The sequence below is a fragment of the Homo sapiens genome, chromosome 2 (genome assembly GCF_000001405.40).
Source record: "Homo sapiens chromosome 2, GRCh38.p14 Primary Assembly".
Lineage (NCBI taxonomy): Eukaryota > Metazoa > Chordata > Mammalia > Primates > Hominidae > Homo > Homo sapiens.
In genome coordinates, this window is record NC_000002.12 from 191,358,325 (window position 1) to 191,374,385 (window position 16,061).

Sequence of the window (16,061 nt, forward strand, 5' to 3'; positions counted from 1 at the left end):
CTTTCTATTTTCCCTTTGCACCTTTCCTTTTAAACTCACCTAGTATCATGTTTCACATTGGAATATGAGAGTAATCACTGATCATATCAGTGTGTGCAGTTTACGAAGTACACTTTGCCAGCATTCCTTTTCATATCGTGCGCAAGTGAATATTATTCTTGAACTTGGTGGTTGTTATCTGCTGAATCTTACAGTCATTGCCATTTCTACACTCTGCAATGTCTATGAGCGTTTATTCAAAAGGTGCCAAACATTAGACTGGCCAGTGTGTTGCTGTTGCACAGTGTAGTGTTGTCACGGGCTTTTTGATGGTGTTATTTTGTGTCTTGACCTACTACAGTTTGCTTTTGTAATGTGATTGTGGAAGTGCTGCCAAACAATCGCTTGTCATCATTATAAGGTGCCACTGTAAGGTGAGAGGACAGCAGCTCACCTCGTCCTCACTCACAAGGGCCTTGGCATCTCACTGTGAAGAGAGCTGCTGCTGTTTGTTTGGGTGGCAAGAGCAGCCAAGAACATGTGTGACTTTTGTAGACCAAGTGGAAGGTCATCACGTGTCCAGCTGGTGCTAAACTTCTTCCCAAATCGCTGGCACATAGTGCGTTAGCAGTAGATGACCTGTTTGAAGGAATTCGTGCATGAATGGATGAAGTCAAATGTAGCATTTGTTTATATTTTTTATGTAATCAAGCCACTTTCTTCTAAACTTGAGGAATTTCCTATAAAAATTAGCTTTTCAATGAAGAATCTGCCCATGCCCTGTGGGTTTTTTCTTCTAAAACTGTTACAGGATCCCATAGAAGCTCAGTCACATGATAAGTAAAATCGTACTGCATGTTTAACATTACTTATTTAGTCTATCTTGTGCTTTGCATGTCAGTTTTTACTTATTAATTGACTGAAACATTCCATTTTTTAGAGATGGTAACTATTACACAATCCTTTTTTCCCTAAGTTATATCCCACTTGTACTTTTCAACCTTTGGGGTTTTTTTTTTTTTTCATGTTTTCTAAATATGAAGCCTTCATTATTTTCCATCTATGATTTGAGGACATTGGCAGTCTTCCAAGTCATATGAGAGCTGGAGAACATGAAAAATCTGCAGCATCCTGCGCCTAATAATTTTTGTACTTACATATTTTTGTTCTTTTTCAGTTGGCTCAATTTTATGTTTTCTTATGCTGCATCTCTTTATTCTTACAATCTTATGTATTTGGAGCACGCTAGGACTTCTCATTCATCAAATATATATCCTTTCACTCTACCTAAACTCCTCCACAAATGCTGGTGTAGGTTCCAGAAATACAAATTAAAAAGTTTAATGATCGTTCCTAGATTAAATGGCACATCATTCTCTCCCTTACCAAGCATTATCGTGATGTTTTAGATTGCAGCCTGATTAGGGGGACGTGAAATTTGTGTGTTCTCTAGAATTAGTGCTCAATAATGACATTACTAATTTGGAATTTTATAGTTGAAGTTTGCCTTTGCCCACAGCCTTTTGTATCACTATTGAGTGATAAGCAGGGCTCCAGACAAGAATATCCTCGTCATCCCTCCCTTCCTTCCTCCTTTCCCATTTGAAAATTTGGGAAGACCTCAGATTTATGGGTTGAAAAATTATCTGGAGTCAATGAAAATATAATATCAAATAACACCAAATTCCATTCAATGAGAACCATCTTTCTCTAAGACTTCAAGATATCCACAAACTCTACGTTGCTTCTCCCAGGTAGTGGGGCATGTGGGTGCAAGAGTCCTAATTTCAAATCCTAGTTCCACAAGCTGCCAACTGAGTTATGTAAACTCCTGGACTATCAGTGTTTTCAACTGTAGAATGATACCTTATAAAAGGGTTGGGAGGATTCAGTGAGATACCATCTGTAAAACACTAAGCACATAATAAGATCTCAAAGTATTAACTAATTTTTATTAAAATTACTAGGTAGACTCATAATTGAATGGCTGTATTTCATTGCTTACATTTGTAACGTCACATTTTCAGGAATTTAATGTCATCATAAAAAACCAAGAGCATTTATTAGTATAAAAATGATATTTAATCAGTGTTTTGAATGTAACTTATTTATATATTCATTATTTAAAAAGAACGTGACCTGTGTAATTTGGTGATTTTCATTAGAGTTGTGGTTCTTCCTGAAGCTAGAACTGAAAATACAGCTTCCTTTATTATTTCATTTTATTACTGCAGAATAGAAAGAAAAAAGAAAGTGAGAAGGAAAAAAAGCATGGTGGATTTGGAAGTGAAACAAATGCCATACTATGATTTAACTCTTCTCTTTAGATCTTTTAGAGAAATCTCGGGTTGTTAAACAGCCAAGAGGTGAAAGAAACTTCCATGTGTTCTATCAGCTGCTCTCTGGTGCCTCTGAAGAGCTCCTCAGTAAGTCTCTGTTTCTATGTGGTGTTGTTGTTGTTGTTGTTGTTGTTGTTGTTGTTGTTGGAGCTGGGAGTCTCACTGTGTTGCCCAGGCCGGTCTCTAATTCCTGAGCTCAAGCGATTCTCCTGCCTTGGCTTCCCAGAGTGCTAGGATTACAGGCATGAGCACTGTGCCTGAATTGTTTCTATGTTTTAATTTTCAGTGTCACAGCACTTTTTGAAGCATTCTCTTTAAAACATACTCCATATGCTTTGCCCCTTCCTTCTTAAGAATATTTTTTATGATTCTAGTTGAAGTGAAGAACATGGTGTATTTGCTTCTACCACACCCCAGGGTTTGTGTAATATTCTTGTACCTCACCAGATACTGTGCCATACGTCTCCGATGTGTTGAGGACTGTGCAGATGATTCAGTCAACTCAAGTGGAATTTCAGCAGCTAGAACTGCCTCAGTCTGGACTTGGCCAAAGCTGATTATTAGGGGAGGGACTAATCATACATTTAAAAAATAAAATGGAAGAATATGATTTTTCTGTTTGGGGAGAGAAAATTATCAGGGTTCTAATTAAATGAGTACAATTCTATAAAAACAAATTGCTAGGTGAATATTTAAGAATAGTGGGGAAGACATTTTGCAGTTGATACAAGAGATAAAGATCTGATATTTGGGATTTTAGAGAATTAACATAATTCCACAAAGATACTATCTAATAGCTAATAGCTAATGATGAAAAGTAGTGAACAAATAGTTCAAAGAAGAAGAGCTATGAAAAGTCAACACCACTTAGGAAAAGTCATCTTCACTAATAATCAACAAATGCAGATTAAAACAGCCCTGAAGTATCTACTATATTATTATATATGTAGATATATAATATATACATATACTACATATAGTATAATATATGTAGAAGTATCTACATATATTAGCAAAAGTTATTAAGGATCAAGCTAGCAGAGTTGTCACTGATCTGCTTGGAGCTTGTGGTATACCCATCTGTGTAGAGCTGCGGGTGTTACTTCAAAGCGAGGACCTCTTATAATCAGAGCATGCCATCCAGTCACACCACTTTTTGGACTATATTCCAACAAAATAATTCAGATATGAATCCAAAAACCAATTGGTATGAAGACATTTATCACTGCTCTATATTTATTATTATAAACTAGAGAAAACCCAAATATCCAATGGTGAGGGAATCACCAGGCAGAACACATATGTTATAATGAAATAATATATTGAATCACCAGGCAGACCTCATATGTTATAATGAAATAATACATTGAAGGTATTTTTTATTATAAAAACTCTGGAAAGAGACTTACCTAGATAAGTATAAAACAGAGTTTGTGCTATCACAGTGATTAAAGTCATTTTAAGAATAATGCTGTTACTGATATTTGGGTATAATTTGTGTTCTTTTGATTCAATACTTAATATAAAAGCCATGTTACCGATGTGAACAAGATATCAAAGGGAATGAGATATTAAAGATTGGATTTATTGAAGCAACTTAACAACTTGTGTCTTTGATTCAATAGATAAACTTAAGCTTGAGAGGGATTTCAGCAGGTATAACTACCTGAGTCTGGATTCGGCCAAAGTGAATGGAGTGGATGATGCAGCAAATTTTAGAACCGTGCGGGTAAGATGTAGTACTTTCATCAAGCTTTAAATTGCATACCACTGCATTGCTCAGCGGGAGCTGGTAGCAATTCTGAGTTTTCTTTAAAGTGTAGCTCATTCTCCCTAAGGTTTTAGAATTATACAAGAATTCTATTTTTGTTACTTTGATTTTTTTACTAGCTCAAAAATCACACAAGATTGTGAAGGCCATGCTTTTATTAGAGCATGTGATTTTACCATTTATCATAAGGAGCTTTCTTATTCTATTATCCTGGGGTTTGACTCCTTTAAGGTTATTTTTAAATTCCAAGTGTTTTTATGGCAAAAGTTAATTTCCAACTGCCCTTGGATCATGTTAAATCAAAACTATTTTTGAGACAGAAAAAAATCTTTTTATATAGTTTCAGAAACTCATATATAAACCCGAGCGATTAGCATTCCACATTCATTAGAAAAGATGATTTTAAATAACACTATACTCTGTTTTCTGTCTTAATGTGTGATACACTTGACATGATATGGTAACTGGGATTTACTTGCAAGTGAGACAGCTGTGGTGATGGGGAAAGGGGAGAGTAGGATGAATTATAGATAAAACAAAATTGGCATCTGTTAATTGTTGAGGGTGAGTGAAAGGACATGCGGGTTCTTTCCCTGCTCTCTCTACTTTTGTATATGTTTGACAACAATAACAAAAACTTACATTACTCCCATTGCTGTGTAGCCTAGTCATTTTTAAAAAGCCAGCTGTTCTCAAAAAGAAAGTATCTCTTACAGTATGTCGTTTTAAAAAACTGTATAAACATCTTCATATGGAAGCAATAGTCTGTTGATCCCTGGACATGATTTTGTTTAAACCTTGAGTCCAAGACTGGTTTTAGAACCACTTTGCCTGGCACGTAATTGGCACTCCGTAAAAATTTATGAATGAACAGATGCCTCCTGTTACCCAGTATCTTGGGCTGGGCTCTTCACCTTTGCAAACCACAGTTTTTCTGATATGTAAAATGAATGAGGAGCTTTTCTTTGTATGGAGTTGTGCAAGTTGGTTTTGTTTCTAGTAGCAAAACCTCAGTGTAAAAAAAACGACATACATACAAACTGAGCTGCTGTGGTTGAAGTGGAAGTAGGGACCCAAGGCTCTGCTCCCAGCCTCCTGTTTCTTCTGTCTTCCTCTTTATGTGCCCTGCAACCCCCGCCACAGCACCAGAGGTACCCCCAGGGTTCCTCGAATCACAGTTGGAAACCACTGAAGATATAGCTTTGTCTTTTATGGGTTTTTTTCCCCAGAAATAAATCTGTAATATGATTCATTAAAAAAGAAAAGAAAATAACTATAAGAAAAAAATAGTTGCTTTTTTTTTTCTCTCCCCAGAATGCCATGCAGATTGTGGGCTTTATGGATCATGAAGCTGAGTCTGTCTTGGCGGTGGTGGCAGCAGTGTTGAAACTGGGGAACATTGAGTTCAAGCCCGAATCTCGAGTGAATGGTCTAGATGAAAGCAAAATCAAAGATAAAAATGGTACATCCGTGGAGAATCAACTTTGTTTGTTTAGGAAACTTGCTTTGAACTTCTCCCCACTTTTTAATGTAGAAAGTAAAATTTTTGCTTTGCATTGGTTTGAGAAAGCTTTCTAATGAAACTGAGCAGAAATAGAACTGTGGCTAAGCTTTGTTTTTTGATGTATACATTTTATACTGATCTGTTTGATTATGATTTAGAAAGAACATCCTAAGCCTTCAAAATTATTATTAGCAGCACGTGTACAGTCACTTTTTGTGTCCATCCCCTGCCTTCCCACAGAGTTAAAAGAAATTTGTGAATTGACCGGCATTGATCAATCAGTTCTAGAACGAGCATTCAGTTTCCGAACAGTTGAGGCCAAACAGGAGAAAGTTTCAACTACACTGAATGTGGCTCAGGTGGGTGAAACATAATGTACAGACGAAAGTTTCTTAAAAGTCTGTGCTAATTTTCATATAAGTATAAACAAAGATTTTAGTTTACAGGCTGTTACCTGAATCGTACTATGTTCTAGGCATTGGGAACAGAGCAGTAAACTAAACAGATAAGGATCCCTGCCCTCATGGAGCTTAAAATTCTGGTAGAGGGAATTAGATGATAATCAGTAGACATAAGAAACAAGTGCTGTAGCAAACTAGCCCGTGGTGTATGATCAGTGAACTGAGAGCAACAGTAGAGCAGAGTAGGGGAGCTCCCTGGGGCAGGGAAGGAGACTCAAGTGAGGTGGGAAATGACTGAAGGGTTTTGAGCAGAACAGTGGCATGACTGCCTTGTATTTCAAAGGGTCACTCTGGCTGTGATGTGGAGAGCAGAGGGTCAGGGAAAAAGGAGTGAAAGCGAGGGACCTTCGAGGAGATGTGCACTAACCCAGAGATGATGGTGGCTTGAACCAGGTAGTCGCAGTGGAGTCAGTGAGAAGTGGTCACATTGTGGATATTATTAGAGGGTAGAGGCTACAGGACTTGCTGGTGCTAGCTGGTTTAAGAGGAAGAGAACAATCAAGGGTGATTTAATGTTTTTGGCCCAAGCAACTGGAAACATGGAGTTGTCATTTACTGATTTGGAGAAGACAGTGGGAGAAGCCAAATTGGCCTCCCTGCCTTACTTCTTGAACCCCCTCTACCCTTGATATTGGGGCCAGTGAAGTCTTTAGTCTTTGTAAGACACAAATCTGAGCTGCTGCCTTCTCTCCTTTTGCTTCAAGTTAAGTGGGTGGGTGTTTGGATGGTTGCATGCCTGTATACGTGCATGTATACCCAGGCAGCTTCTGCAGCCCCTTTCACTAAAACCCTTTGTGCTATGGCTTACGCATTTTACCACCAGTCAATGACTCAGGCTAGAATTAAATTACTAACTTAGGACTTCCACTCAGGCCCCCACTTTGTCCAACTGTATTCTTGTTGTCTCATCCTCATAACTATCCATAAAGCCTCCATAAATGGTAGGGTGGAGCCAGGCTTGCCCTCTGTTGCTGAACCAGCCTTTCCTACTATAATCCAAGAATGCCTTTATGTCTTTAGCTTTCAACATTGATATCTTATTTTAGGTGAGTTATTTTGGCTGTGGCAAATACCATAACTTTATATATATGGAAATTTGGTTTGTAGCAATCGTTTCCTAGCTATAGCCATTGCCTGTCCTTCCTCCTAAATTACTGCTTTTGCTGTCATATCTGTCCAAGTCATCCTCACTAATTCACAGTCAGATACGAAGTAACTTACTTAATCAAGGAAATGCTGCTGAGAGCCTGTACAGCACAAGCCCACACATAGGCCCTGAGTTGGGAAGTAAGAGGTTAGGGAAGACCCCATGGAAACAATCAAAGGATTTAGATGTGTGAAGTATGGCTGAAAGGGCATATCAAAAAGAAAACATTGAGAAAAGCCAGATTTGGGGCACATATCAGAAGAAGGATTAATCAAGCTTGGCTATAGCTGTAGATATGTAAAGAGGATTCAGAGCAATATGGCTGGAAAGGTGAAGTCTGCAGTCAGAGTGGCAAATCTGCACCAGTAGTTCTTAAACTTGAACGTGCATCAAAATCACCTGGTGGACTGACTGACTAAACATGGTTTGCAGACCTCACCCCCAGTGTTTGATTCAGTGGGTCTGGGGTAGGACCGAGGAATTTGCATTTCTAATAAATTCAAAGGTGACACTGCTGCTGCTGCTGCTGGTCCAGGATCACATTTTGAGAGCCACCGAGTTTGGACATTTTCAATAGCCAGAGTGGGAATTGTTAAGTCTGTAAGGAAGCCATGAAAAAGCCTGTGTTGTTTAAGAAGACCCTTTAGGAATATGTATATTTTGGGTCTTTTTAAAATTGTGTGTTTTACTCTTGCTTTTTTAATCATCCTGTATGGGAACCAGGCCCAGGTGCCTCTGACTTTATAAGCTTATTTTAGTCACCTTACATCACTAAAGAAAACTTTCCACATTTTCTTAACCTTTGGCATAAAAGAATTTGGCTAGAGATCCTCAGCTATTCGGCTCCTTAGTCAACTGTTTTTTTTTTTATTTTTAATGTAGTACTCAGAGTATCTGGTTCTACTGATCTATTGCCTGGGAGGTTTTGATTGCTGTGAGAAGTGATTTGTTTTATTAGCCTTTCCACATAGCTTCAATTCCTGGGCCCCAGCATCATCTTTATTGCCCCATGCCTCCTTTTCCCAAGGCATTTAGACCTTTCTCTAGATAGGAGGACTAATACTGAAATAATAGAAACTCAAGACAAGAGTTTTTCAGCTTCTCCGACATACTCTCTCCTTGGCTTCTGATGTCCTCTGAAATCTGATCCCACACAGCTTACCTCAGTTTATTCCTTGCTAGTTCTCTGTTACCTGCTGCCTCTGCTCCGACCTGCCTATCACCCCCCATGTCATGCTCATTCTTTCTGCCCATCTAAATGCTCTACCTGATTGTGCCCTATCCTAGGAGACTTCTTTGATCAAATAGGCCTCCTGAGACACCCCGCACCCCCATCAGAACCTGTTTTTTTTGCAGTTTGGCACCTGTCCTCTGCTTGTTTCCTCTGTGTTAGTTTGATCTCCTTAGCTCCACTCTAAGCTCCTGGAGGGCAGGCCCCATGTCTGTGCATCTCTGAGTCTCCACCTTGCTTTGTCACTTGCCGTCCTAGACCATGCCTGTTACTGGCCATGTCTGCAGCACATTCCACCTGGGCTTTTCCTCTCTGAGTTTCATGCAGCTGCAGAAGTGCATGGTCTTTTCATAGTGTGCTTTGAAACTGAGATGGTGAATTAGTGCACTTTGAGTCTTCCCTCGTTTCTACACCCCATATTAGTGGTCCTTAAGTGGGAATAGACATTCCTTCCCTTACTGCTTTATAGGATAATGTTGTGGAGATTTGGTGGCATGAATCAGGCTCAGGAAGTCAGGGGTGGCACATTGGCAGCCAGGTGGCAAATTGGCAGCTCCTAGGGCCAGGTAAAGCTCAATATTTTTAGTTGACTAAAGGGTAGTATTTTCTTTGGTTTTGTTTGTTTGCTCTTTAAGTTTTGAATTTGAGTGCCTTTAGCCTGGAATGCATCCTCTAACCCCAATAGAGAGAGCCATCATTTCCTGTTCATTTCTATCACACAGTCCCTGGAAACATTTGAGTTTGAGACCCCTGGAATAAATATTGTTGAAGAAACCAAAGAAGATTAATATTGGCTGTGAATACACTTTAAAAAATATAAAGCAATTTATCAGAATAAATTGTCACTATTAGTTCAGTTGTTTATTGAAATAGTGGCTTGTTGAAAGTAGATAGCATGTAACTAAAAAAGCTGGACGACATTAAGATGAAAAAGGGCTCATTTACAAAAACATGGTGTTTTGAAATTATGTGGTGTTTTGAGATAACTTGAATTTATAAGAAGAAAAAGGAAAGGATTTGGAAATTATATAGCCTCATGAGGTAGTAGTAGACGAAAAGGATACTTCAGAAATCAATATAAGTACATCTATAGACTAACTGTGTGCTAGGCATTATTCTAAGCACTTAAATTACCTATTTTAAGAAAGCAAAAACTAGAAGAAAGGGTATTGGGGAAAGATGCATCTAAATTATATTTTGATTTCTCTGTTTTAGCATTTGACATGCATTTTCTACTATGGAAGCATTCCCTCCCTTGTTTGTTTATTTGTTTGTTGCCAACTCTTAGGTATATTCTCTAACCCTAATTGGAGTAGGGAGGGAGGTTTGGGATTAGCATGGAAATGTCAGATGAAGGGAAAAGGTGTTATCTTCAGCTGTGTTATGTTGCCAGGGAAGTGAATCTGTTATTAAAGTTGTTACATTTTATTTAGGAAGAAATGTAGAGAAAGTATTCCCACATAATCTAACAAGTTGTGCTCTTTGTAAAATAAAAATGTACTGGTTAATTTTAACAGTAATACCCCAATTTTTACTTAGAAGCAGCAAAATACACACATACGGCCAGCATGTTGAAAATAGCAACAAAACCTCAAGCTTTTTCTCTCCCAAGGCCAGTTCCTTGTTAGGCTGCTGACACCCAACCTCCAGGCCTCCCCAGGATGCTGGTATTAAACATCTCATTAGTACTTACTTACTGTATGCTCTGGGCACTCGGTGCATTTAAGGGTGTTTAGATTCTTCTGTCCAAACCTGACTTTCTTCGGCCTTTGGATTCTAAGAGTCATAGAGATGCATATGTCTTCTGCCTCTTTGTCAAGTAGTTCTGAATAACTTTAAAAGTAGATAAGCACGTAAGAAGGGGTTTATGTTCATTCTATAACTTAAAAGAACTCATTGTGGAAGTTTTTTTAAATACTCAAGTGATTAGTGTGGCCAGGCATGGTGGCTCATGCCTCTCTAATCCCAGCACTTTGGGAGGCTGAGGTGGGTGGATCACCTGAGGCCAGGAGTTTGAGACCAGTCTGGCTAACAAGGCAAAACCCTGTCTGTACAAAAAATACAAAAATTAGCCACGCGTGGTGGCACACACGTGTAGTCCCAGTCACTCGGGAGGCTGAGGCACGAAAATCCCTTGAACCCAAGAGGCAGAGGTTGCAGTGAGCTGAGATTGTGCTACTGCACTCCAGCCTGGGCAACAGAGTGAGATTCTGTCTCCAAAAAAATTTAAAAATAAAAAAAGATTGAGTGAAGAAAAAAAATTTGCAGATTCCATCAGTCAAAGCCATTTTCATATATCTCCTTTGAATTTCCATTTCTGTGTATAAGGGTTTTAAAAAATAGTTATCATATTAAGTAGACAGTTGTTTAATTTTCACATTACGCGAGCATTTCCATTTCATTACCTGATTTTCATAACCATCACTCTCTGATGACTATGTAACATTACTCTCAGTGCATGTTTCTCTTACTACCCCCTATTGTTGGATGTCTAAATTGCGTCTGATTTTTCTCTGTTCCATAAAATTGAAATAAATATCTTTGTGGTGAAAGTTTTTGCAGTATTTAAAATTAGTTTCCTGGTTTGTGAAAAAGTGTAACTGTGTATAAACAATTTGCCTAATTCTCTTAAAGGTTTGATTGTTTATGATACAAGAAAACTGGTTCTGCAAAGATGTGAAATAAAAGAGCTTCAAATATTTTTTAAAAGTATCTTTATGATTTTATTAAAAGTAAGCATTGTGGAATTGTGGGTGTTAAGTTTTGTTTGTTTGTTTTTTAATAGGCTTATTATGCCCGTGATGCTCTGGCTAAAAACCTCTACAGCAGGTTGTTTTCATGGTTGGTAAATCGAATCAATGAAAGCATTAAGGTACTGAATTTCTATGAGCAAAATCAGTTGTAATAAATGGTATTCACAGTATAAACATTAAGTTGAAGAAAGTTTAAATTTATAATCAAATAATTGATTGCCACTTACAAAGATTATTCCTTAAAAAGAGTGTACCATGTATAAGATTGAAATTTGTCAGGGATTTTGTTTATTTTGTTTTGCCATGTGTGTTGCTTCTGACTGGTGAATAGTCTGATGGTCTTTGTGGAGTTACTCTGGGAGTCGGCGTCCCAGGTTTTGGCCTGGCTCACCTGGTAACTAGTGGTACACACTTTGCTGAAAAGGTCACTTTACTTCACTAGGTCATGATCTAATCATTACTAAAATGAGAGTGTTGGACTAGGTGATTTTGAAAGGCACCACTAATGCCTTCTTTAAATATATCACCTATTATTAAAATTTCTAAAAGAGTTCTATACCAATGCCTCATCTCATACATTTTTTAAAAAACAACTAAATTAGTTATTTTCTTACTTAAGAAACATAATTAATTTGTAATATATATCTATGTTCCTTGGATGCTTGTAGTGTTATATTTCATGCCTTAATTAACCCTTTAATTTGAAACTTTTTAAAGGCACAAACAAAAGTGAGAAAGAAGGTCATGGGTGTTCTGGACATTTATGGCTTTGAGATTTTCGAGGTAAGATTTAAAATTTTTTTTGTATTGTCTTTAGTAGAGTGGAATGGTTGGAAATTAAATCCTGTATTATGTAGACATTATAAGTAACTGTAACTTTGAATCTACAAATAATCCTTGTGTAGATGTAACACACTATCACTTTGAATCTGCCAACAAATCTTTGTGTAGATGTAACAAAATTTGGTTGTGTATTCCTGCATGTGTGCCTGAGTGTGTGTGTGTGTGTGTGTGTGTGGTGTGCGTATGCTGAGAGCCAGCATTTTGGAGACAGTACTGCTTAAAAAGAACTCGTATTAGTACCTGACTTTTGAAATTGCGTATTTAAATTTCTAACCGTGAGGCTTCCAACAAGCTACAATGAGTATGTCTGTGGCCATTTGTGTGTTGTTAGAAAGTGTGGCAGGTTGGTGCCATAAAGAAAGCCACAGGAGGGCTGGACATAGGTTCTGGCCTTGCCAGGGCTGGTCATTTCATCTGTGAGACTCAGAGAAAGAGGATTTGGATTAGGTGATGTGTTGAGTCTCATTACTGTGATCTTATGATAATGAATTCTGCTGCAGAGGTTGAAATAATTTCTGCTGAAGCTCATGGTGAATTTTTTAAAATGATTCTATGCTTGTTACAGATTAAATATTTAAACCATTTGTGCTTGGTTAAGCAACACATATACCTAAAATTAGAATGATATAGAGAAGATGAGCATGGCCCCTGAAAAAAGTGATTTGGAAAATAAACATTATCTACTTATGTTAGAATTTCCTTTTTGCCCCCTTGCTAACTTTGACATTTAGAAGGAGTTTTAAGGATCTATTAAAACATTTATTCTCACTTTTAGGAGTGGTATTTTAGTTTGGTTCACGGAAATAAGAAGTAGATCGGGCTCCTCCTTTCTTAATTCTCCTCCACAAGTAAGATTTGTGAATTTCTTTAAGGAACCAGGCTCTGCCCAGAATGTTCCCAAAGAATTTACATGTTCTAAAAAATTAGGGTCACAGAATCTCAGAAAAAAAACATCAGATCATTCCTTTCACCTAAACCAGACCTTGCTAGCACATGCCTTTTTCTTAGTATGTTTTCCCTCAATCATATTCTATATTTAATAGCTAATGGTAAGTACTAATTGAGGGCCGACTGTATGTAAGCACTGTGGTAAGTGGTGTGTGTATGGTCTGATTTACTTTTCAAAACAGCCTCATGAAGTAGCTGTTATTATTATGAATTCCATTTTACAGATGAGAAAGTAAAGCTCCTCAGGTCAACTAACTCCCCAGGGTTATACAGCTACTTAGCGGCAGACTCAGGACCTAAACTCCAGGCCCTTTTAATATTTTCATTTATTGCTTTTCTTTCTTACTAAGATTGAGACCAGGGGCACTTCCTCACCTTTCTTCCCAAAGTAACAGGTTCCCCAGTATCTGGAAGTAAGAAAAAAATAAATGTGGTAAGTCTCTGACTCCCCTGTTTCTCCACCCTTGTCATTACTCCAAGCTCCTGGCCAGCATTGGGTGCTTCGTAGATGGAAGTGTGTGTGCTGGTGGCTTCCCCATGGGGTCCCCAGAACAGAGGTCTTCAACACAGCATCTGCTTGTATTGCTGCCCATTTAGCAGAATCTACAAAGGAAAGCTACCAATTTCTTGGTAGAAAGGGAAGAATTTGAGGTTTCTGAGTTAGGAGAAATGCTTGAGTACACACAGAAATCACTGCCGAAATTAATTTCTTTCTAGCAAGACCTCAAGTTACTATCACTAAATGGGCAGAATGCCAAAGTCATTCTTTACAGTTGGCAGGGAAAAAGACTTACTACCTAGCACATTGCTGTGCTAATCTAGATTTAAATGGTTTCATGAGCAGGGGAGATGGGTAAGCAGAGATTTCACTAGAAAGTTAGATTAAGAAGATACATTCAATGACATTTCCAAAGTCAAAGAAACTGATTTTGTTTTAATTTTGCTAGAAAAGGATTATTGATCTTAAGCCAGTGGGCAATGGCTTAATATCATATCACAACACATGGAAAGTTTAAAAAATAGGATAATGAGGTTATGATGGGATATCTAGTTAACTTTGACTTCCAGTAGGTCCTAAGATCTAATTAGCCATGGGAAAAGAAACACTTATAACACTCAAAGGAAACTGAGTTATAACTCATAAACAATTCGAGTCATTTCTCAAGTGTTTATTGAGTTACCAGATACCAGTAGTAAACATAACTGAGATATTCCTTGTCTGCATGGAGCTTAGAGTCTTAGCCCTAAGATTGAGAGTCTGTGGCTGCCAGAGGATGTATCCTATCAGGTAGGAAAGTCTAATCAGGAAACTATATTACGTTTTAAAAGTTTGTTTGCTACAGACCTAATCAGAACAGAAGTCAGATGTTCCTGTGTAAACATCCTTTAACTTGATGCTGGGTGAAATACCCTATACCCTTCAGCAATCCAAGAATATTTTTCACTTCTGGTTAATTCAAGTTTCTCTCCATACCTGTCTTGCTGAATGTGCCCTCCTTCTGCAAGTTATACCATCATTTTTCTCAACACTGTTTCAACTAGAGACTTCAGTTTATGAAAATGCCTGCGTTATATTTCCTTTTTTTTTTTTTTTTTTTTTTTTTTGTGACGGAGTCTCACTGTGTCTCCAGGCTGGAGTGCAGTGGTGCGATCTCGGCTCACTACAACCTCTGCCTCCAGGGTTCAAGTGATTTTCCTGCAGCACCACGCCCAGCTAATTTTTGTATTTTTAGTAGAGACAGGGTTTCACCATGTTGGCCAGGATGGTCTCGATCTTTTGACTTCATGATCCACCCACCTCAGCCTCCCAAAGTGCAGGGATTACAGGCATGAGCCACCGCGCCGGCCTGGCTGCCTGTGTTACATTTCTAAATATTCTTCCTTTCTTCAGAGGATTACTCTATTTCAGTGGTTCTCAAATGGCTGTGCATTGGCATCACCTGGGGAGCTTTTGCAAATTCAGATGTCTAGGCTGTACCCAGAGCAATTATGTCAGAATCTCTGGAGATGGGGCTGCAGCAGCAACCTTTTTAAAGCTCTGAGGTGATTCCAGTGTGCACTCAAGGTTGAGACCAAATGCTCTGTTAGACAGTAGTCTCTGGAGTAAACTGCAGATTCCAAACATGTGGTGTTCATGCTGCTTGGCCACTGTATGAAACACCCTTGTAAAACATTGGGCCTCACCTACTGTTCATCTGGGCATGGTGGCTCACACTTGTTATCCCAGCACTTTGGGAGGCCAACGTGCGTGGATCACGAGGTCAGGAGATCGAGATCATCCTGGCAAACATGGTGAAACCCTGTCTCTACTAAAAAATACAAAAATTAGCTGGGCGTGGTAGCTTGCGCCTGTAGTCCCAGCTACTTGGGAGGCTGAGGCAGGAAAATCGCTTGAACCTGGGAGGCGGTTTTTACTCCGTTTAAACAGAACTTTCAGCCAAGGCCAAATCCAATCAGTTATATGTCTATAGCAAATCTTATAATGGCCATCAAATTATAAAAATTTAACTTTCCTTCTACATGCAGTAAATAATTTTTCTTTTTTTCCCCCCAGTTCCTTGAGAGAATCAAGATTTGTTTTTTCATTATATTTAATTGTTACCTCCATTTTCCTTTTTAAGCCTTCTCAGATTAATCTTCAGTTTTGATTTTTAATAACTTTTTTAAATAAATTTATTTGTGGGGAGGTTAGATTAGCGATTTGGTTGGGGATTTTTAGGTACTTTTACCTGCTTTTTAATACAGAGTTACAGACGTGTTTTTCTTCTTTTAATAAATTATTCACATACATTCCCAGATGCCAGCCTATATTTTCCTGGATTCTCAGCAATGTTAGAACACATGGAGACATCAGGAAGCTCAGAGTGTTAGGAAACCAAGAAAATTAAGAACTTTAAAGTACTGCAAGTTGAAGTACAAGGGGTCAGAGTATGGAAGAAGTATTCAGATCCACATCAAGGCAAAAATGAAAATTTCTGTGATATTTTCCACCCAAGTGAAAAGAAACTGCTGGAGTATAGATAACATGTATTTTTTTATTTGTTCTGTTGTTCTTCAATTGACTGTAGGAATTAAGAGTTCTGCC

At 38.2% G+C, this 16,061-nt stretch overlaps 1 protein-coding gene and 1 pseudogene across 14 annotated transcripts in view; both read left to right on the forward strand.

Moving 5' to 3' along the window:
• MYO1B (myosin IB) overlaps positions 1 to 16,061 on the forward strand; it is a 179,983-nt gene that overhangs the window by 112,921 nt on the left and 51,001 nt on the right. For all 14 annotated transcript variants that reach the window (XM_047444410.1, XM_047444412.1, XM_024452914.2 and 11 more), the window contains 6 exons: positions 2,307 to 2,405; positions 3,944 to 4,047; positions 5,404 to 5,551; positions 5,834 to 5,952; positions 11,218 to 11,304; positions 11,903 to 11,968. In XM_047444410.1, coding sequence (XP_047300366.1) covers positions 2,307 to 2,405; positions 3,944 to 4,047; positions 5,404 to 5,551; positions 5,834 to 5,952; positions 11,218 to 11,304; positions 11,903 to 11,968 — 623 coding nt within the window. The remainder of the gene's footprint in view (positions 1 to 2,306; positions 2,406 to 3,943; positions 4,048 to 5,403; positions 5,552 to 5,833; positions 5,953 to 11,217; positions 11,305 to 11,902; positions 11,969 to 16,061) is intronic.
• Positions 12,614 to 12,720, forward strand: RNU6-1045P (RNA, U6 small nuclear 1045, pseudogene; annotated as a pseudogene).